Consider the following 23,090-nt stretch of genomic DNA (forward strand, 5'->3'; position numbering starts at 1 on the left):
TCTGGAATTCCTGTTGGAAGCTGTCAGAACCTCTCCATCTATCTGTACATCTCTTATCTGCTCTTCTTTTTTTAAGGACGAGGTCTCACTATGTTGCCCAGGCTGGTCTCTAACTCCTTGGCTCAAGGAATCCTCCCGCCTCAGCCTCCCAAAGTGCTGGGATTACAGAGGTGAGCCACCATGCCTGGCCATCAGCTCTTCTCTTTCTCGGTGTTCCTTGATCTCTCTGTTCTGTATTCTGGGAGCCCTATGTTTAATAATTTAATAATGTTAAATTATTAATTAATTATTGATTATTAATTAATTATTATTAATTGTTAATTATTAATTAATTATTAATTGTTAATTATTAATTATTATTAATTAATTAATGTTATAATTTAATAATGTTAATAATGTCCTATGTTAATCAGCCAAATGTTTAATGCAGTCTTTGAACAATCCCATCAATAGTTTTTTCTCATATTGCATTTTTGTTTCAAAAAGAATATATTTTATTTCCAACATGTTACACTGCTTTTTTAAAGGCTAACTATTCTTGTTTAATTTCTACTTATTTTCTTCTAATAATTTCTTGTTCTATTTTGGCTTTATTGAAAGGAAGGTACTATGGCTTCTGTCCTTTTTCTAAATTGTGGTAAAATAAACATGCAACTGACCATCTTAACCATTTTAAGTTACGCTTCAGCATTGTTAAGTATATTCACACTGTTGGGTTCCCTCGTCTTTTTAAATCTTTTTTTTAAATAAATACATGTTAAAGACTTTATTTTACTCATTAATGAGGGAATCAGGCAGGCACTACAACCCGAAGGACAGATGTATTTATAGATCACAAATCTTGAAATGAATGTATAAATGGAGAGAAACTGAGGTTTCCATAGGGGGCGGGAAATCAACTGGATCTCTCTCAACAGGACAGAATCTGCACATCTATTGTCTATGGGAATATTTTGCATTGCTATCGATTACTGAAAACATAAATGGTTGTAAAAGACAATGAAAGATTAGAATCTGATGCACTGGAGGGCTATCCTTTAGACAATGCCGAGTTTTCCATTGAAGTACGATTCCTTTTTCTTTTTTTTTAACAACCCTTAAAGTATCTCTTTGACAGCCAGGCAAGAGGGCCTGGGCCCTATTCATAAATGAATAACCTTGATGCCAGGACTCCTGGGATTACTATTAAACATTCTTTTTTAGTTTAAATTTTTTATAGATTTAGAGGGTACAAATGCAGTTTTGTTACATGGGTATATTACATGGAGGAGTCTGGGCTTTTCATGTTGCTGTCACCCAAATAAAGTACATTGTACTCATAAGGTAATTTCCTTTTTTTCTTACCCATCCACCACCCAATCATCCATCCATCATCCACCAACCACCTACCACCCATCCACCCACCACCCATCCACCCACCCATCCATCTACCCACCCATCCCTCCACCCAACCATCCATCCATCCATCCATCCATCCATCCATCCACCCACCCACCCATTTATCCATCCACCACCCATCATCCCTCCCACCCAGCCATCCATTCACCTATTCGGTAAATGTATACCCACCACCTACTCTGTGCCAGGCATTGTTCTAGGATATGGAGACACAGCAGTGACCAAGACATACCTGGTCAACCCCTTGTGGCTTCTGAACCAGTGAGGACACTCTCCATCCCCATTATGTAATTTTTTATCCCTCAGCCCCCTTCCTCCCTCTCTCCTTTCCAAGTCTACAGTGTCTGTTATTCCATTCTGTATGTCCATATCTACACTATCTTTTAAAAAATATCTTTAATATACTTTTTCAAGTATTTTCCTCTGGTTCTAGAGTGAGCTTGTGTTCTCATTGTTTAATTCTTTGTTGCTTATCTCAGCATTAGACTTTTGTGCTTTAGAATATTGTTTGGCACACTTATTTTCAGTAGGAATTTTAGTTTTTCCATTTTCTTTTTTTTTTTCTTAAGAGTCTCACTCTGTCGCCCAGGCTGGAGTGCAGTGGCGTGATCTCCGCTCACTGCAACCTCCGCCTCCCGGGTTCAAGCAATTCTCCTGCCTAAGCCTCCCAAGTAGCTGGGACTATAGGTGTACGTTACGACACCCAGGTAATTTTTGTGTTTTTAGTAGAGACGGGGTTTCACCATGTTGGCCAGGCTGGCCTCAAACTCCTGACCTCAAGTGATCTGCCCATCTTGGCCTCCCAAAGTGCTGGGATTATAGGTGTGAGCCACCGCATCCAGCCTAGTTTTTCCATTTTCTTTTTCTCTTTACTCTTCTTTTTCCCTCCCCTGCCTGCCCGCATTTATTTTCAGGCTCATACCTCTTGTCTGTCAGATAATTGGTCATCTCTACCCAGCCGTCTAGGTTGGCAATCCAGGATCAGCATGTATGATGGATGTTAGAAATTAATTCTCTGAGGCTGGGTGCAATGGCTAACGCCTGTAATGCGAGCACTTTGGGAGGCTAAGGTGACCAAATCACTTGAGGCCAGGAGTTCGAGACCAGTCTGGCCAACAAGGTGAAACCCTGTCTCTACTAAAAATACAAAAATTAGCTGGGCATGGTGGCACATGCCTGTAGTCCCAGCTACCCAGGAGGCTGAGGCAGGAGAAACACTTGAACTCACGAGGTGGAGGCTGCGGTGAGCCAAGATTGTGCCACTGTATTCCAGCCTGGGCGACAGAGTGAGACTCTGTCTCAAAAAAAAAAAAAGAAAAGAAATAAAAATTATTTGAAGTAATACTGGACATCGGGGACATCCAATCATAGCATTGTGAAAGGAAAATAAATCTCAGGACCCCAAAATCACTAAGCCGAAGGGAAAGTCAAGCTGGGAACTGCGTCAAGCAAACCTGCTTTCCATTTTCTTCCTAAATAAGGTAACTACAAAGATAAGAAACTGCATACCTCCCTCACAATTTGCCCACTAGGAAATTTTTTGCAGGCCCCGGATCTTTACCCCTAAAACAGTTCTGTTGAATTTCACCCTGACGATGTAAATTGATAGCTTACCTTCACAGGTACGGGACAAAGGACAGAACTCAAAGTTATCCCTCTGTTCAGCTGAGACAAATGTGCATCTGATTGCTTCCTCTGACCTATGTTTATTTTATCTTACGTAAAAACACAGATTCACGAAGCTAGCTCAATGCATGACTATTCCTTTACCCCCCTCACGTGTGAACAGCTGATCAAAGGCTCAGATGAACGCAACTGCTTGCCTCTTACCTACCCACACCTTTTAAAAATTTCTTCTTCTTTGTCCAATATCTGCCCTTTTCCTGTAAATATTGAAGCCCTCAAAATCATCTTTGGAGAATGGCACAGACCTGCCTCCCAGGCATGTGTCCTTAACCTTGGCAAAATAAAATTCTAAATTGATTGAGACATGTCTCAGACACTTTTTCATTTACAGTATTTAGAGACATTTTCCCTTCAGAAACTAATCTTATAATGACCAGTCCATACATGGGCAAAACAAGTGCAGGACAAAATCAGATATGGTCTCACTCACTGTTTTTGTTTCTCTTCCGTTTCTGTTCCAGATATATTTACTTTATACTAAAGTTGTGTCTCTATATCTTTTATTTATACATTGTTGCTATGTGTTTGGAAGAGAAAAGATTTCCAAAGCATTATTCCACTTGTTATTTTGATCTAGAACTGGGCATATTATAAATAAATACGGCAGAGGAGAATCTAGCCCCATCTCACTGATAAAATTCCCAATATACTTCCCTCAAACTTCCTATCATCTAAGTTCTTAATTCAACTCAACACTATCCCACCGTCACCCTAATGAATTCTGCTGAGTATCACTTGCATTTCAGCACGAATTGATCCTATCACTAATGTCAATGGGATGGTCACGTCATGGTTATCTGAACGTGTCAAAGGAGAAGAGCATCTGAAGCTGTTTCACATCCTACAGCATGAGGTTCTTGAGAAGGAGCTATCTGTGGTAAGAAGAAAATGAGGCAACGAGAAAAGGCTGTTGGCCAAAAAGCTGAGAGTGACCCAGTTACTGGCTTCGCTGGACTCCAGCCCAATCTAGATTGATGCTTCCACTTTTTGAAATGTGCTCGAACATCTCAGTCTCTCCTCTCCTGCTCATCATGCACTTGTCAGAAAGCTAAACTTCTTACTTTCTCCTGACAGAAAGGGTCTGACAGTAAACCATGATATGTTTAGATTACCATTACTTTCATCACTTAAGTGCAGAATCACGTCAGTCCCTGTCTACCCCTGAATGGAGGCAGATAAACCAGTTCATCTGAGCTCCATGTGATCACCTGCCGGACCTCCTGAAGAAGCAGTCAGAATATGCCAGCAGGAGAGTCTGGCTTCCCACCCCAACTCCTCCAAAACCATTGTTCTTAAGAGATATGACTGGTGCTGGGCACGGTGGCTCACGCCTGTAATACCAGCACTGTGGGAGGCTGACACAGGAAGATCGCTGGAGCCTAGAAGTTTGGGACCAGCCTGAGCAACATAGCAAGACCTGGTCTCTACAAGTTTTTTTTAAAAAATTAGCCAGGCACGGTGGTATGCACCTGTGGTCCCAGCTACTCAGGAAGCTGAAGTGGGAGAATCATTGGAGCCCCAGAGGTTTAGGCTGCAGTGAGCCGAGACTGTGCCACTGCACTCCAGCCTGGGTGACAGAGAAGGACACTGTCTAAAAAAAGAAAATGAGAGAGAGAGAGAGAGAGAGAGATGACTGGGATCTTTCTCATTGCCCCAAATTTTGTGAAGGAGAAACAAAGTATATCCTTTTTATGAAAATGGTAGGCCGGGTGCAGTGGCTCATGCCTGTAATCTCAGCACTTAAGGAGGCCAAGGTGGGTGGATCACCTGAGGTCAGGAGTTTGAGACTAGCCTGGCTAACATAGTGAAACCCCATCTCTACTAAAAATACAAAAATTAGCCAGTCTTGGTGGCACATGCCTGTAATCCCAGCTATTCAGGAAGCTGAGGCAGGAGAATCGTTTGAACCCGGGAGGTGGAGGTTGCAGTGAGCTGAGATCGCACCACCTGCACTCTAGCCTGGGTGACAGAGCAAGACTCCATCTCAAAAAAAAAAAAAAAAGAAAAAGAAAAAAATGATAGAGGCTTCCTTATACAAATATGGATACATGAATATGCTATTTGCAATGAGGCGTAAATTGATAGCTTGAAAAAAGAGCAAGAGTAAAATGAAATGCCCCAGAGACCCCAGGAGGTGGAAAGTACAACAGGACAAGGTGTGTGTGCTGTTATGACATAGAGATGCATGTACTGGCTTTCATCCATGGTTGCTGGTTGGTAACTCCCACATTCCTTGTTGCTGGCCATTTTTTCTTTTTCCTTTTTTTCAGCTGAGGGAATTTAGCCAATCCAGAGGCCTTGTTCCCCATAATTTGGAACTTTTCTCTGGATTTGATCAAGTCGGGTAGAGTTGGTCAAACCTAATGGGAAAGAGACCAAAACAACAAAAACAGAAACTAACAAATTTTTAAAAAGCAGTTAATCAAAACAAACAAATGATCACACAATTTATATTATTACTGAGCACTCTAATGGTAAGGAGGAATTAAGACCAACTGGTTGTTCATCTTAACTTTAGTGATTAAGGAGAATTTCCAAGACAAAACCCCCATTCAGCTACTTACCTAGGAATGAGACCTGGCTAAAGACTGTGCTCTACTGAGGGAGAAGACCACCCCTCATATTGTCTCATGCCCAATTTCTGCCTCCAAAGAAAGAAGAAGTAAAAATGAAAAGGCAGAAATGAAATCCACAAGCAGACAGCCCGGCGCCACACCCCGGGCCTGGTAGTTAAAGATCGAGCCCCGGCCTACTCGATTATGTTATCTGTAGATTCCAGACATTGTATGGAAAAGCACTGTGAAAACCCTTGTCCTGTTCTGTTCCAATCTGATTACCGGTGCATGCAGCCCCCAGTCGTGTACCCGCTGGTTGCACAATCGATCACGACCCTCTCACGTGGACCCCCTTAGAGTTGTGAGCCCTTAAAAGGGACAAGAATTGCTCACTAGGGGAGCTCAGCTCTTCAGACAGGAGTCTTGCCAATGCTCCTGGCTGAATAAACCCCTTCCTTCTTTAACTCGGTGTCTGAGGAGTTTTGTCTGCGGCTGGTCCTGCTACACTACTATCCTAGAAGTAGGAAAAAACTCAAACTTGCTTTCCCTGTTGGAAGTGGGCTGAAATTCCACAAAGGAGTTGCCTGCACCCCATTATCATGGAAGCAGGAAAACTCTCCCTCCTTGTTGAAAGTGAATAAAACTCCAGAAAAAGAGTTTCACAGCAGAATAATCCTTAAACCTCAACCAGATTTTGGAAGATCAGGGATTCTCTGGAGACAGGAGCTCCCAGGGCTCAGCAAATTGTCCAACTGATTTGAGCAATAAAGGTAGCTCAAGCTGGCACCAAGTACCCGTAGGAGATTTGCCAAAGGTCAGGGGTAGCTCCACTCAGAATCCCTTCATGGTTACCATGTAAACCAAACAGTATCTGAGACAGAGCTCAGTCAATTTAGAAGTTTATTTTGCCAATGTTAAGGACATGCACCCAGGACCCAAGTCTGTGCCTTTCTCCAAAGATGATTTTGAGGGCTTCAATATTTAAAGGAAAAAGGGCAGGTATTGCAGAAAGAGGAAGACATTTTTAAAAGGTGTGGGTAGATAAAAGGCAAGTGGTTGCCTTCTTTTGAGCCTTTGATCAGCCGTCCACATGTAAGGGAGGCAAAGGAATAGTCAGCTAGCTGGGGTGAATCTGCACTTTCACATAAGATAAAGTAGGGCAGAGGAAGCAATCACATATGCATTTGTCTCAGGTGAGCAAAGAAATGGCTGAGTTCTTTCCTTTGTCCCATCACTGCGAAGATAGACTATCAATTTACATTGTCAGGGTGGAATTCAACAGAACACTTTTAGGGTAAAGATCTTGCCCACAAGGGCAAATTGTGAGGGAGGCATGTAGCTTTTTTATTTGTGAATGGAAGGCAGGTTTGTGTGACACAGTTCCCAGCTTGATCTGTCCCTTCGGCTTAGTGATTTTGAGGTCCCAAGTTGTATTTTCTCTTCACAATATGTGTACGTATATTGGTTTATGTATTGGTTTTCAACCCAGGGTTCCTGGCTCATAATTCCCACAGCCCTTGTTACAGTCTTTTGTTACAGTGTTGGGTGAGTCAGGCCTCAGGGGCAGGACTCTGACCTTCCACTGCCCTGAGGCAGGACTCAAGGCCCTCCCATGAGAGGGTCCCATCCTATACCCTGGGGGAAGGAATGCTAAAGTCATGAAGCTTCCATAAAAAACCAAGGGGACTGGGCCGAACACGTGGAGGCCGACAGGAGGGTGAAGAACTCGTCCACATGCCGGGAGGGTGGGGCACCCCAGCTCCACGGCAACAGAAGCTCCTGTGCTTCCAGGCCTCACCCTATGTACCTCTTCGTCTGGCTAATTATCCATATCCTTTAAAATATCCTTCTTAGTAAACTGATTCTCTGTGAGCAACTCCCCCAGATTAATCAAACTCAAAGAGGGGGTTGTGGGAACCCCAACTTGAACCCAGTTGGTCAGAAGTTCTGGAGGCCCCAACATTCGATTGGTGGGGTGGGGCAAGGATGAGTCTTGGGGATGGAGCCCTCAACCTGTGGGATCTGGCACTATCTCCAGGTAGACAGGGTTGGAACTGATTGGAGGACACCTGGCTGACGTCCACCGCTTGGGAGTGGGGAGAGGTCCCCACACGTTTGGTCACAGAAGTCTTCTTCTGTGTAGATGATTGTTGCAGTGTGAGAGCGGAGGGAAAACATGGTTTCAGGAGAGTCTTCCCTCACACTATGTGATTGGAGCAAAAGGACAAGAAAGATGAACTGAAGGACAAAGGAGAATTTAGGGAGAATCAGGGGCATCGGTTCAGCTGAGGGAGGGGCGTTGGAACCACAGCTGCATGCTGTCTAACTGGGGTGGAGAACTGCTAGGGCTTGGCCTGGAGCCAGGCGGGCATCAGGGCAGGCTCCAATTCAAGGGAGCAATATGACAAGGACAGGGAAGTCACACTTGATATTTCAGGTGAGGCCTCACCCAAGATTTTGATTTTTTTTTTTTGAGAGGAGTCTCGCACTGTCTCCCAGGCTGGAGTGCAGCGGTGTGATCTCGGCTCACTGCAAGCTCCGCCTCCCGGGTTCACCCATTCTCCTGCCTCAGCCCCCCGAGTAGCTGGGACTACAGGCGCCCTTCACCACGACCAGCTAATTTTTTGTATTTTTAGTAGAGACGGGGTTTCACCGTGTTAGCCAGGATGGTCTCGATCTCCTGACCTCGTGATCCACCCACCTCAGCCTCCCAAAGTGCTGGGATTACAGGCGAGAGCCACCGCACCCGGCCAGATTTTGATTTTTAAAAACCCAGGTATGAGGCCATCAGGCTCTGTTCTGCAGTTTCAGAACCAACTGGCTTGATTCATTCATAAGGAGGCCGAGGACTCCCAGCTGTCAGTAGAGGGCAGCCGTGCCCAATGAAGACCAAGTTCAGGTCAGAAGCTTGCTCAGCAAGCCAAGAACCAAAGATAGTTAATCTGGGCAGGGCGGTTATGTATGAATTTTATTTTCCTTTTATTTTTCAATGTTTTTAGGTAGTTACACGATAAGCACATATTACTTATATACGAAAAAAGTTATTTAAAAAACAATATTCATTCTTTACCTTTCTATCAAGTGGTACAGAAAATTATACGGTATATATTTGCCGTGTGGCAAAATATTCCTCGTTGGATCATGTCAGTGGAAAGAGTATGGTTCTTCTTTGTATTAGTCTTTCAACTTCCCTGTGAGTTTGAATATTTTCATAATAAAAACTTGAAAAACAGAATATAAAATTGAAAAAAAGTTTTGGAAGGAAAAAATATTCCCATCCTTTAATTCAAGAACATCTACGTAAATAATAGAACCAGTCTCCTAGATGACACTGCTCCCCACCCTTGGATGCTGATGAGTAAATGTTTTAAAATTCTATTCTCAAAATATTTGTTCAAACATTCCATTCTGGTCACATAAAATCTTCCACCGTTTCAAGGACAGAACACAGTATCCGAGAGTTCTGGTTTCTACTGTTGCTCAGCAAACTCCCGCAGAACTCAGCAGCTTAAAATACCCGTTTCACATTGCCCACCATTTGTGAGTCAGAAATTCAGGCAGCCCTCGGCTGGGCAGTAGTTGCTTAGGGCATCCCATGTGGTTGTGTTAGATGCTGGCCAGGGATGTCCTCACGGCCCCTGTGGGTGACGGTGGCCATGGGTGACGGTGGCCGTGGGCCACTCCCCAGAACCCTCCAGCAAGGGGCTCAGGGTAGTCAGATGTCTTCCATGAACTCCCTGGAGCTCAAGGCCCCAAGTGTGCCTGTTCTAGCAAGAACCAGGAAGAGGCTGTCTCCCTGCCATGACCTAATCTAGCAGCCACACAGCCCCATTCCGCTGCCAGCGTCCTGCAGGCCCCTCCTCAGGGAAGGCCCTCGGTGAAGAGTGAGGCCTGATCGCCGCTCACCTACTCCTGATCCTGAAAGGTTTTGCCCTTTTCCTAAATAGAAACTCTGAAAAGTAATCAAACAGTATTTCCAAAGGAGGCTTTTGGCAGGCTTGCCTCATTGCCCTTGCAGGGAAGGCTGCCTGTCTCTAGCCATCTTCCTCTTCTTACAGCTGTGCTGAGACGTTTTTGGCTGGGGCAGGGCTGCTGCACTGAGGGTGCATCCCACCTCCTGCAGGGAAGGCAGCCAGACCACATTCCAGTGAGTGGAACGTGAGGGAAGGCTGTCTGCCCACTGCTTTTGTTCCATAAAGAATGAGGCTTGCCCTCCCTTCCCCTCTCCTGCTTCCTGGTAGCTGAACCAGGGCAGCATTTGCTGTGAGCTGGGAGCCATGTGTTGAAGACGGCGGAACAACAAAAGTGAAGACAAAAAAGAAAACTGCATCACTGGCATGTGCCCTTGTCAGTCAGCACTTCCGGGGCTGTGTGTGGCCTTCAGGAATTTCAGTTTTCATGCATGACCCTGAGAAGACTCAGCCCCCTGCCACAGTAGGACAGGTTTCTCAAACAACCCACTAGGGTTAGGGGCCCGCAGGTTTCATTCTGCCCCTCTCCAGGTCAGGGTTCCTAATGCACTCCCCCCAAAGCTCCCCATCACCCTGCCCTCTCCAAATCCTCGTCACTGTCACAAGCTTGGTCTTCCAGGCACCGTGTATGGCCGTGGTCCCTGTAGTCGCCCATACAATCACTCCCTTCTTAGTAACAGGAATCTTAATTTGATTCAGCTTCAGAAATACTTTTTCCAGCCTCTTTTGCTGACAGGGGTGCCTGTGTGATCCAGTTCTACCCAGGGAATTGTGACCCAGCGCTCTGTGAGCTTCCAAGAGAGGAGGAGGCAGCTGCCATCCACCCTTTACCTTCTTCCTTCCTCCTTCTTCCTAAAACGTGTGCTGGCTGGAGCTCCCGCAGCCAAGGAATGAGACCTGACCTCGTGCTAAGAAGAGTGAGACTGAGACCTGAGAAGGAGCCTGGGCCCTGACGGTGGAGGAACCCCCACACCAGCCTGCACCATCGACCTCTCATTTCCGTCCGGCGCTGGGATCCAGGCTTCCTGCTCTGCAACTGAATCCATTCTGACACACTGTCTTACAGTTCTGGTATAAAGGGTCAGACTTCAAGTTAGCCAAGGGAGGCAGTGGGGGAAAGTAACAGCCTTGGCACTACCCGGCCCCCTTTCTATCAACTGCCCCCGCTCTGCCCGCTCCAGACACATGTGGAGGGGGATTAAGTGTCGAGGGAGCCAAGGTGAACAGCAGGAAAAGGAAAGCAGTGGAGACAGAGATTTCCACCAGGCTTTACTCACAATGCAGCCATACGGATTAATCCCACAGCCACCACAGAAGGTTGTGTTACCCCCGCCTCACAGGAAGAGGCTCTGGCAGGAAGAACAGCTGGACCCGAGTCAGACACGCAGGTCACGGGCCCAGAGCAGGGCCGGCCCAGGCCCACCGCACTCTATGACATCGGCCACCAGGCTGGTCTCCAGGAAATAGGGCCCTGGTGTCTACTTCCTAAACTCCCTGTGAATTGCCAGGGGCCAGAATGTGGGTAGGTGGGAGAACAGATGGAGGCTGAAGGACCTCTGGTGGCAAAACACTGACCTCTACAGAGGTCTCATCAGAAAGCCTGAAATCCCACGTTAGATATTTCAGAAAGAGGGCAAGCTTCTGTTCTATACATTTGTATGTTATTTAAAGTTACACAGCCAGACAAATATGTACATAACACTATGGGTTTTGGTGGTAAATGTTTTATCTATGCATATTATGTATAGATGTGAGGAAGACGTCTGGAAGGATACACCACCCACGCGTAAACACACGTTAAGGGAGCGTGTGCAGTATGTTGTATCTAAAATGAACATGTAATACGAAAAGCCAGTAGCTGGTATTTGTAAAGGGGTGCTCTGTATCTAACCCTCTAAATGCCCCCCACCTCCCACCCTCTTGGCCTGCTCTGAGGGCTTCGTCTCCGTTTCCCTGGCCCCTCAGCCTTGGCAGGCTTCTCATGCAGGGCCCAGTGAAGGCTCAGGAGGGCCTTGGCCAGACTCCATCAGACATTTGTCTCCACTGGGGGCGACTTGATCCACAAATGAGATCCCACCAGTGACCCAGGTAAGAGGATTGCAAAGGCCAAGAGGCTTGAGGAGGGAAGGCTGCCCGGAAGGCAGTCTGTCCTGGAGACAGAGTGAGCAGGAACCCACAGTGAGAGCAGGAGTGGCAGGAGGTGGTCACAGCTGGAGGCAGAAGCAGGAATGCAGCAGCAGCAGCAGCCAGGCGCAAGGCAGCTCTGTAAACCTGCAAACTCGAGGCTGGCTGAACTCTACAGCATTGACTAACACGGGGCTTTTCCATCTGGCATTTCCACTTGCTTTGGTATCCACAGGCGCTTCCGGGCCCGGGGGCAGCCGCCACGCACACACGCATGCCACCTGAGCAAGCCTTGATGGGTGAATACCAGGAGACCCCTGAAGGTGCTCCTTGCTTCAGGAGCCTGAGAACCCAGTCTTTCGTCTTGTAAGGGGGTCCTCTGGCACCGCAGGCCCCAAACTCTACTCCTCCCGCCATCTCTCCTGGACCTCCCCGAGCCACGCAGCCCCCTCTTCCTCTCCACCCTCACAGGAGACCGCCGGTGCCTGGCCTGAGAATCCAAGTGCAGCTGGGGAATGGCCTGGAAGAGGCCGTAAAGGCTGGAATGGAACAGTCCAGCCTCACACAGTGGCTAACAGCACAGAGTTCATTCCAATCCGGCTCTCCCTCAACCATCTGTGTGACCTTGGGCAACTTCACCTCTGTGTGCCTGCTTCCTCACTGGTAAAACAGGAGCAAAACAGTACCCACCGCCTAGGCTTGCTCTGAGGATCAAGTAAGTTGGTACTTATCCTGGAGCACTAAGTAAGTTGGTACTTATCCTGGAGCACTAAGTAAGTTGGTACTTATCCTGGAGCACTAAGTAAGTTGGTACTTATCCTGGAGCACTAAGTAAGTTGGTACTTATCCTGGAGCACTAAGTAAGTTGGTACTTATCCTGGAGCACTAAGTAAGTTGGTACTTATCCTGGAGCACTAAGTTGGTACTTATCCTGGAGCACTAAGTAAGTTGGTACTTATCCTGGAGCACTCAGAACAATGCACTTGGCTAGCTGCATGACATGCTATGCGCATGGAGCGTGGCGGCCAAACTCCTCCTGGCTCCACCGGAAAGGGCACAATGCAGCTATCGCCGGGCCGATTCCACGTCTGAAATCACGGATAATGACCACCTCCCCTTATTTAACAAAAAATATGGCTAAATAATCCATCTAAGCAACAGGGGAAGGCAAAACCCGCTCCACACAAATCTCAAAGGTTAAAATAAAACCAATGTCTGACACTGGTTTCTGAGCCCAGATGGGAGGTTGGAGCTGCTCCCAAGGCCACGGCCCTCGACACAGCTCCCCAGACAACTCTGCCACCATCTGGTGTCGAGCTCCAAAGTAGTTTCTGCCAAGAAAGTTGCCTAGCCCAGGGTTTTTGGTTTGTTTTGTTTTGAGACGCAGTTTCGCTCTTACCGCCCAGGCTGGAGTGCAGTGGTGCGATCTCAGGTCACTGCAACCACCCCGTCCCGGGTTCAAGCAATTCTCCTGCCTCAGCCTCCCAAGTAGCTGGAATTACAGGCATGTGCCACCACACCCAGCTAATTTTTGTATTTTTAGTAGAGATGGGGTTTCACCATGTTAGCCAGGCTGGTCTCAAACTCCTGAAGTGATCCACCCGCCTCAGCCTCCCAAAGTACTGGGATTACAGGCGTGAGCCACCGCGCCTGGACTAGCCCAGGGTTTTCAAACCCACTCATGAAATCAAGTTCGTGAGTCACAAAAAGCGTTTTGTTTTTCCGAGACAGAGTCTTGCTCTGTCGCCCAGGCTGGAGTGCAGTGGTATGATCTTGGATTACTGCAACCTCTGCCTCCCGGGTTCAAGTGATTCTCCAGCCTCAGCTTCCTGAGTAGCTGGGATTACAGGTGTGTGCCACCATGCCCAGCAAGTTTTTGTATTTTTAGTAGAGTATTTTTAGGTTTCACCATGTTGGCCAGGATGGTCCCGAACTCCTGACTTCGTGATCCGTCCGCCTCAGCCTCCCAAAGTGCTGGGATTACATGTGTAAGCCACTGCGCCCGGCCGCGTTTTGTTCTTTTAAATGAATTAGTGGAGAACAGAAACTCTCAGAATGTTGCACGTGATATGCAGAGGTAACAGTCTGTCTGTGTTCTGGGTATTAGCAAAACAGGCACTCTCACTGGGGTTGCGTTTGGGAGTCCAAGCGCCACTGTGAGGCCAACCCTGGTATCAGCTGTGTACCCTGAGGCTCCCCGGCACGTCATAAAGGGCACTCAATAAGCACTGCCTGGGCCAGCAGAGGGCACCGGGCACAAAGCACCACTCAGGGACCACCCTGATCAGAGGACCTGGTTCTTCCCCAGACCAGGCCTGCCCAGCCAGCAGGAGGCAGAAGCAGGAGACACTCACCAGCTTTCCTGCTGCGGCCTCCTGGCTCTACAGGACGATCAGCAGGAGCACAGTCCGGGGCTCCTCTCCACCTTGTGGCCTGGACTTCCTTTCCCACCTGGCCCCCATCCCCTGGGCTGTCCCTGGCTCTTCCCTCCCACTCATCTGCTTTCTTTCCTCAACTTTGCTTCCTCCCACCCGTCTAGCCCTCTCCTTAACTCTTCATTCTCCCTTTTCCTTTCTTTCCCTGCCTGCCACCTCCTTTTCCAGGACACACACACATAAATATTTTTCAGACAATTCAGCCTTTATTTTAGAAAATAATTCTGTAGCTTCCACTTTCTTTCATGAAACTGAGGTCAGGCAAGAAACAAAAATCCACCAAGTCCTCTCCATCCTGCCATGGCGTCCTGGCCTGTGAGGACATGGGGCGCCTGGGAGCGGGCGGGGAGGCTGGGCAGCACTGGGCCAGAGGCGTCCTGGTCACTGCTCCACCTGGTCACTGCTCCACCTCATGCTGAGAGGAGCCTGTGTGTCAAACCCCAGGGGAAAAAGGGACAGGCAGATCGAATTCTGTCTTCTACCAAGCCAGCAGGAGCCTCCTAGAGCAACAGGGAGGGCACTGATTTTCAGAAAGGAGGGGTCAGGGCATAGTCCCTCTCTGAGGTAAGGCAAGAGAGAGGTTGTCCCAGCACAAGGCCTTCCTCCCTGCACCTCTCTCCTGACAGCTGGGCATGGGCTGAGGAGAGGTCTTGCTTGCCCCCTTCAACTTTCCATCTCAGAACTATAAACTGCTAGGCTGCAAGGAGAGAAGGGCTAAGTGGGGGTCAGACAGGAGAGAAGGGCAGGAGGCAGTGAGCCCCGATGACCCACCAACTCCACCAGGCCCTGACAAGGAAGCCCCTTTGGTTAGTATCATTTTGGCCACAAATATGTCCCCTTCTCCCATAACTCAGTCCCCACTGGGGGAAGGGGAGCAGGTATAGAAGGAGGGCTCGTGCCCTGGCTGGAAGAGCCAGGTCAGGGAGAAGGGGTCTGGTCAAGAGAGCGAACGTTGCCAAACTCTCTGCACATGCTCCAGGAGAAAGCTCAGGACGTGGACATTTCTGGCCCCAACAAGCCCAGTGCCCCCCACCACACAGTGGTTTCCTGCTTAATACCCCGCAACATACCCTAGAATAGTTCCCCTGATCTGACTCCCTTGAGAACGGGAGAATAATCCTCTTGTTATCATTTGTGCACTTAAATGCCACTCGGAAAAATCAAAAAGATAAATGCACCTAAGAGGGAAACACAGGCAGGCCGATGCAGCCTGGGGACTGTGGTCCCACCTCAGCTCATGATGTGGCAAGGAGGGGCCCAGGAAGGACAGGCAGGTGCTAATTCCAGCTAGGATCATAGCCCTCCCACGTCAGTGGGGGCGCCAGGTGGACACGGCGGCCCCGGAACTGGAAGGTGACAATACCCCGGTAGCCAGCTCTCGGAACCCCCGACTTAAGGTCATCCATGACACCCAGAGCCTTGGCGAAAGCCTTGAAGCTGTCCCTGCCCGTATACTGCACCCGCACCTCCCCCAGCTCCTTCCGGTCATTGGTCCTCACTTTCTCCACCTGCAGCTGGGGAGCACCGTAGACGCGGGCGAGGAAATCTCGGTCATAGGCCTCCCGCTGCAGGTAAGACAGGTCCAGCTGGGTGAAGTGCACAAACTGCTGGTTCAGCTTGATAAACTTGAGGTGCTGGTCAAAGAACTGCCCGTGGCTCACACCCTTGCGGCCAAAGGTCATCGTTCTTGAGATCTCAGGGCGTATGCAGGCCCGCCCCTGCCGCTGCTCCGGCCGCCGCATCCAGTCGTCCCAGAAGGCCTTTGGCCACTTGGGCTCCAGCTCAGCCCAGAGCTCGGCCAACAGCAGCCAGCCCAGGCCAGGGAAAAAGTCGGTGCGGTAGAGCAGCTCAGGCCTGCTGGCGTCCACCATCTGCTCCTTGCCGTTGTCATTCCAGGCCGAGACGCACCACAGGGAGGGGTCGGCCTTCAGCAGCGGATAGGTGGCCCGAAAGTACTCGAAGAAGTCCGGGGCCACCTCCAGGTCATCCTCCACCACCACGGCCGCGGGGAAGCGAAACTGCCGGAAGACCTGGCCCAGCGCCCAGCGGTAGTGGCGCGCGATCTTGTAGTAGCCCTGGAACTTGCGGTGGTCCGGCGGCACCGCAATGCTGCTCAGGTCGGGCTGCCGGATGTGCGTGACCGCGCTGCCGTAGGAGGCGATGGCCTGGGCCGTCTCCTCGTGCCCGCAGTCCTGGCTAACGATGATGGGGAAGAGCTCAGCCGAGGGCCGATAATGCAGCAGCTTGTCCAGGCAGCGCCGAACAGTGCTGCGGTCACAGGCGATGACCAGGATGGGAATCACCGCCGGCGCGGGGGTCACAGGCACACGCGGCTGGGCGGGAGGGGCCGCGGTGGGCACCCTCCCCCGCTGGCTCGACAGGGCATCCCCGATCTGCTGCAGCAGCCCACGCTGCCGCTCCAGCTCCACCTCGGCGTCTTGGGCCAGGCGAATCACTTCCCGGGTGAGGCTGGCGGGGTCGCCATCGAGAGCGCTGACTGAGGGTGGCCTGCCAGGTGCTGGGCGCGTCCAGAAGAAGAGGAGCAGCAGGGCATTCCAGGCCACAAAGAGGATAGCGCCCCACAGCACAAGCCCTGCAGACTGCTTCTTCAGCATCCTGGCCCCCACCGGGGAGGGCAGGCCAGGGGACGGTTCAAGGCTGCCCTGGGCTTGCCCGGCTCCCTTGCCCGCAGTCCTAGGGATGCCTCCTCTGGACTATGGGATTAGGAGGCAGCCATGCACCTAAAGACAGGAGAGAGAAAGCAAACCGTCACACAAAGGCTCGTGGCTCCATGCCCCACAGGTAGAGGAAATGGGGGCAGGAAAAGGCCAAGAGTGAGGGTGGAGGAAGGCCAGGAGGTTGACTCCAGAGCTCTCTAGGGAGTCAACATATATCCTGACCCAGGAACGTATTTTTGAGGGAGAGGCAGAGAGTGATGCTGGTGGAGGGAGAGAGAAAAAGAACCCCAACTCCCCTCTTTCTACCTGTCAGATTTCATTTCCCCTCCAGGTGGGAAGGAGGAGGGGAGGGGCAAGGAGTGACAGCATCTGCCTACCATTCCTCTAACCTAAGCGCCCCAAGATGACTGATTTTTAAAATCAAATGTCCCACCTCAGGGCTACAGTTAACCCCTTACCAACAGGGAAGCACCAGAGGCACCCCACGAATGTCAGGAGCAAAACGAAGTTGCCCATCATCTCCAGGGTTATTTAACATTTTGCTGGAGGAAGCAGCCAATGCAAATGAACCAAGAAAAAAAAATTCAAAGCAGAAGTGGAAAGGAAGCAAACTATTTCTATTATCTTTACTTGTGAGAATATGCCTGGAAAACTCAAAAAGAATCAATAATGAACTGAGCAAGGAAGTGTAATATAAAAATCAACATATACTAATGGATAGCCTTCATATCCACAAATAACTCATGAGAAGAAAACATGGATGAGAAAACCCTACTTACAAAAGCCAGAGAAATGAGAAAATATTTAGAAATAAACTTAAATAAACTTAAACATTCAAAACTTATGTGAACAAAACTATCATTCCTGAAAGACACAAAAGAACATCTGAATATCCCTTGTTCTTGGTCAGGACATTTCAGCATCATCAAAAATCCCAATAAAAATACCTTTTTATGGAGCTAGACGAACTGACAGTAAAGTTCACATGAAAAACTAGGAAAACAATAAAAATAAGCTGTGAGGAGGGACTCAGCCCTACCAGATATGAAAATACTGCATACTGGCCAGATGCAGTAGCTCCTACCTGCAATCCCAGCACTTTGGGAGGCCAATACAGGAGGATCACTTGAGCCCAGGAGTTCAAGAATAGCCTGGGCAGCACACGGAGACCCTGTCTCTACAAGTAACAATTAAAAAAAAAAAAAAAAAAAGCTGGGCATGGTGGCACGCACCTGTGGTCCCAGCTACTCAGGAGGCTGAGATGGGATCACCTGAGTCTGGGAGGCTGAGGCTGTAGTGAGCTGTGATTGGATTGTGCCATTGCACTCCAGCCTGGGCAAGAGAGTGAGACTCTGTCTCAAAAAAATTTTTTTTTATTATATATATATATATATGGCATACTACAAAACCTCCATAATTACAACTGCGTGGTACTGGTACATAAATAAACAGACCATCCAGTGAAATAGAATTTAAGCTCCAGAAACAGACTCATTACACAAAAAAATCTAATATGTAATAAAGGTGCTACTTAAAATTCCCAAGGCAAAGATGGTCTTATTAATAGTGTTATAATAATTACGTAGCTATGCTATAGCTTGAATATGGTTTGTTCTCTGAAACACATGTTGGGATTTGATCCCCTGTGTGGTGGTGCTGCCGGAGGTGGGGTCTAGTGGTAGGTGTTTGGATCACAAGGGGGGCAGGGGCAGATCCTTCCTAACGTCCTCTGGTGAGTGAGCTAGTTCCCCAGGGATAACAGGCTGTTATAACCAAGCCCAGTCTCTCCTGCATGCCCCATTTCTTTCTACTTTCAGCCATGTCCCTACAAAAACCTACACAGGAGTGTTGATGGTAACTTTATTCATAATCACTCAAAACTGGAAATAACCCAAAGGCCCATCAACAGGGAAATACAGATAAACAAATTGTGGTTTACTCATAGAATGGAATAATATTCAGCAATAAAACTGAATAAACCACTGACATACACAACACAATCTCCAAATAATTACACAATATGGGTCTTTTTGGGAAAAACAAAAAAGAGCACATACACTGTGATTCCATTGACATAAAACTGCCGAAAATAGAAACTAATCTATATTACAGAAAGCAGATCAGTTGTTGCCTGGGGATGGAGGCAGAGAAGGGCAGTAGGGTAGTTACTACACAGGGGCATTAGGAAGCTTCTAGAAGGGTGGATATGTTTATTATCTTGATTGTGGTGATACTTTTACAGGTATATATATATATATATATATACACACACACACATATATGTCAAAACTTATCAAATTGTACACTTTATATGCAGTTCTTTGCACATATTGATATCAATTGTATGTCAATGAAACCTCAAAAAACTTTTTTTAAAAAGACGTTATTGGGTAAAATGACAAAGGTGGAATATGGACAGTAGGTTAAAGTATCAGTGATAACTGATTAATTCCAATTCTTAGGTAATACACACTGAAGTATTGAGAAGTAGAGGACCAGGATAGATGCAACTTCTCAAATGGTTCAGAACAAAAACATACTCTGCACACATAGAGAGCAAATGGAGCAAAATATTAACAGGTGAATCTGAGTAAAGAGAGTGTGTACGAATATCCTTATACTATTTTTTATTCTTGCAATTTGTGTAAGTTTGAAGCTATTTCCACACGAAGTTTCTTGACAATCAAATATGTAGATATTGCCCATAGCTCTGAAGAGCTTCATCCATCAGCGTAATCCCAGCTGGCACATCAGCAAGGCAAATTGAGATGATCTGTTTGCCCTGAATTCCTCGGTCAGTCACCTGACGACGTGTATCACACACCTGCTCTCTGCCAGGCTCTGGGAAGGAACCAGGACACAAACCAGTGAGAAAAAGGCATGGTCCCACCAATCCTCCAAGCTCTACCAGACCACATTACTTGAAAGGATCTGAAACACTCCCCAATTCCCAGCCAGCTGCCACTCCAGACCATAACTCCTTGACTGTCCTGCCTCTGGTCTACCCTTTACACCCCAAAGCTTCAGGCGTGCACCCTCTTACACCAACAGCTCTGCCAGTTGCCCTCTGCCTCACAGGCTACTCTCTAATCCTGGCCAAAACCTTGGGCCTCAGATCTAACCTCTGAGGCTCTGGGCTCTCAAACCAGCAGATCTGGTATAAAAGGGCTGATCCTGAAGGGCCTCTAAAGAGACATGGATTCTGTCTCCCTCCTGGGGAGACTTCACCAGCCCCTGCCAGCATTCACCACCAACCACTTGTCTTCTTCCTAGAAACCAACCACCCCCACCACGCCAGGACATCAGTCTTCTCAGAAACGTCAAGTCTGTTTCCATGTAACTGTGCAATTAAATTCTATTATATCAGGGCTCAAATATTATGTATCAATTAGATACATGTTGTCAAGTGACCGAGAAATTCAGGGCAAACGTCGTTTCAGTTGGCCTTACTGCTGTGCCCAGCTGGGGCCATACAGATGGATGAAGCTACTCAGAGCTGTGGGCCATATCCCCATATTTGATTTTTAAGAAAGTTTATGTGGAAGAAAAGAGTGATGCACAAAAGAGTTTCAGTTTTTTTTCTTTTTTTTTGAGACAGAGTCTCACTCTGTCTGTTGCCCAGGCTGGAGTACAGTGGCATGATCTCAGCTCACTGCAACCTCTGCCTCCCAGGCTCAAGCGACTCTCTTGCCTCAGCCTCCCGAGTATCTGGGATTACAGGTGCCTGCCACCACGCCCAGCTAATTTTTGTATTTTTAATAGAGACGGGCTTTCACCATGTTGGCCAGGCTGGTGTTGAACTCCTGACCTCAAGTGATCCACCCTCCTCAGCCTCCCAAAGTGCTGGGATTACAGGTGTGAGCCACTGGGCCCAGAAGAGTTTCAGTTTCTTCTTCGCTCTCCCCTCAGGATGTTGTCCATGTTGGAACTTTCCCTCCAATCTAATGGCCAGGATTCCCTGTCTCCCAACTTCCCACCTCCTAAATGACTGTGCAAGAAAAAGACTTTATATAACAGGATGGGGATGGAGAAGAGGGACTGAACTCTATTCAGTGAAGTGCTGCTCTGCATGGCTTAGAAGGGTGGGGCCCCACTGGGCTTGGTGGCTCAAGCCTGTAATCCCAGCGCTTTGGGATGCCAAGGCAGGCGGATCACCTGAGGTCAGGAGCCTGGCCAACATGGCGAAACCCCATCTCTACTAAAATAAAAATTCAAAAATTAGCCGGGTGTGGTGGTGCGTGCCTGTAATCCCAGCTACTCAGAAGGCTGAGACAGGAGAATCCCTTGAACCTGGGAGGCGGAGGTTGCAGTGAGCTGAGATGGCACCACTGCCTTCCAGCCCGGATGATGAAGCAAGACTCCATCCCCCACCAAAAAAAAAAAAAAAAAAAAAAAGGGGGGGGGGGCCCAGAGGGATAGCCCGTCCCTGACTCATCAATGACCTGCAGGCCCTTATGGCAAAGCCTCCTGGGACCCTTGAGATAACTTCTGCACCCTTTAGATGCCTTTTTACTCTTCTCCAGACATCAGAATTTGGTGGCCCACACCCACTACCTGATGCTTAGGACCTCCTGCCCCACCCTTCTAAGCCATGCAGAGCAAACCAGTCTTCTGACTGAGTTTTTACTTGGCAAGTCTGCACACACATGGAGTGGCTGCAGAGCCCACAGGAAAAGCTGCCCCGGCCAAGCCCTGGCCTCCACCTTAATCAATCCCTGGGCCCTTGTTCTCCACCCCACAGCCCTGTGCTTCAAACTTGCTCCTGTTGCCATAAGAGGACATGACACCCCTAGTTCCAGCCCACCTCCTTAGGCTCAGCCTGGGCCCCAGTGCTATTTTCCTACTGTTTATCCACGTAGTTCCTGGGATAGGATCCTCAGCTCTGCCTGGAAGTTAGTGCTGTGTGCACACACATGAACCAGGAGCCATACACCCTCTCACAACTGGCTGTGCCCAAAAGGATGATCAAGCCCAGACCTTGGCCAGCAGCGGTGACCTGCTTCTCCAGGAAGCACTGCTCAGGCCACCATCAGGAGAGTGCAGCAGCAACAAAGGCAAGCCAGACAGCCCAGAGGCATCACCCTACGTTTTGCCACATTTCTGAGACTCAAACTGGGTTGCTGTGAAGATCGGATGAGATGAGCCATGTTAGGTGTTTAGAACAGTGCCGGCATGACAACGTAAATATCGGCCGTTATTTCACTCCTTTCTCCCCATTTTCTTTGCTCCACTCTACCACACTCCCGTCTGGTACCCCAACAGCCAAGCCTACCGTCGGGGTCTTTGCATGTGCCCATGTGCCAGCTCTGCTCTTCCCTATCTTCTTCACCTGGCACACTCTGATTCGTGTCTCTGCCAAGATGCCTTCCTTGACGCCTGGGACCATGTAAGGTCCACCTACCCTTCACCAACAGCAACAAGCGCAACCACTTGCTCAACTTCTCTCAGGCCCCCTCAGCTGCAAGCTACATGAAGACAGGGATTGGCTCCACCAGCACTGCCAAGCCGCTGTGCTAGGGCTCTCAACATTCAGCAGATGTGCCTGGGATCTAAAAACATCCACAGTTCCTCAACTGTAACTGCCAAATCCAAGAAGCACTAAAACACAGAAGTTTTCTAAACTCAATTGGCAGTAAAACCTCATCCAGCCTCATTTGGTAAAATCTGATCTGATCTAATATGGGGCTATTTATAGTCTTTTCTCTCTCCTGCTGTGGCTATTCATACATTTTGCTACAGAAATAAACATGGTGGCTTATGCCATGCTGCTTCTGATCTTCCACTACAGAGTAAATTCACCAGATCATCTTTTCAAAATCCAAAAAATTCTCAATTCTGAAATACATCTAGGACCAAGAACTTCAAAACTATGAAAATGGAAGTACAAAGTTACTCATTGACTGCTAGCATCCCATGTCAAGCCCTCCAGCCCTTTAACCTGAACTCATTCCTTCGTAGGAAACACTGTTTTAAGTCTGGACTCTTGATGTAGTTTCCCAGCTGGTCCACCTGTCACTAATCTTGCTTCCCTCTCACAAACCTTCCCAACAGCAACAGCGCATCCTTCCTGACAAGTACACCTGGTCACGACATTAACTTGCTTTAAAAACCATCAGAGGCTGCACTGCCCACAAACTCAAACTCAAACTCATTATGATGACATCCAAAGCCCTTCAGACAGACTGTCTGAAACATCCCTTTTCAACCTTACCTCCAACCACTAACCCCATGGACCCTGCACTC

The 23,090-nt window shown here is 48.3% G+C and overlaps 1 protein-coding gene across 37 annotated transcripts in view, besides 3 other annotated features; it reads right to left on the reverse strand.

Moving 5' to 3' along the window:
- The window catches only part of MGAT1 (alpha-1,3-mannosyl-glycoprotein 2-beta-N-acetylglucosaminyltransferase), a 30,837-nt gene continuing 16,339 nt past the window's right edge, over positions 8,593-23,090 (reverse strand). For 25 of the 37 annotated variants that reach the window (NM_001364383.2, XM_047417229.1, NM_001364380.2 and 22 more), the window contains one exon: positions 8,593-16,910. In NM_001364383.2, the coding sequence (NP_001351312.1) occupies positions 15,447-16,784 (1,338 nt within the window). In that variant the 5' untranslated portion in view covers positions 16,785-16,910 and the 3' untranslated portion in view covers positions 8,593-15,446. Of the gene's footprint in view, positions 16,911-18,079; positions 18,180-18,693; positions 19,689-23,090 lie in introns of those variants that run through there. The other 12 variants (NR_157150.2, NR_157151.2, NR_157153.2 and 9 more) reach the window with 6 other exon arrangements.
- Positions 8,848-9,759: an enhancer, noted in NCBI's record as "H3K27ac-H3K4me1 hESC enhancer chr5:180212035-180212946 (GRCh37/hg19 assembly coordinates)". NCBI's record gives its function as "activates a minimal SCP1, AML or CMV promoter by ChIP-STARR-seq in naive H9 embryonic stem cells {active_cell/tissue: H9 hESC(naive)}" and the evidence as "EXISTENCE:reporter gene assay evidence [ECO:0000049][PMID:30033119]".
- Positions 9,760-10,670: an enhancer, noted in NCBI's record as "H3K27ac-H3K4me1 hESC enhancer chr5:180212947-180213857 (GRCh37/hg19 assembly coordinates)". NCBI's record gives its function as "activates a minimal SCP1, AML or CMV promoter by ChIP-STARR-seq in primed H9 embryonic stem cells {active_cell/tissue: H9 hESC(primed)}" and the evidence as "EXISTENCE:reporter gene assay evidence [ECO:0000049][PMID:30033119]".
- Positions 21,318-21,819: an enhancer, noted in NCBI's record as "H3K4me1 hESC enhancer chr5:180224505-180225006 (GRCh37/hg19 assembly coordinates)". NCBI's record gives its function as "activates a minimal SCP1, AML or CMV promoter by ChIP-STARR-seq in primed H9 embryonic stem cells {active_cell/tissue: H9 hESC(primed)}" and the evidence as "EXISTENCE:reporter gene assay evidence [ECO:0000049][PMID:30033119]".

The sequence above is a fragment of the Homo sapiens genome, chromosome 5 (genome assembly GCF_000001405.40).
Source record: "Homo sapiens chromosome 5, GRCh38.p14 Primary Assembly".
NCBI classification, from domain to species: domain Eukaryota; kingdom Metazoa; phylum Chordata; class Mammalia; order Primates; family Hominidae; genus Homo; species Homo sapiens.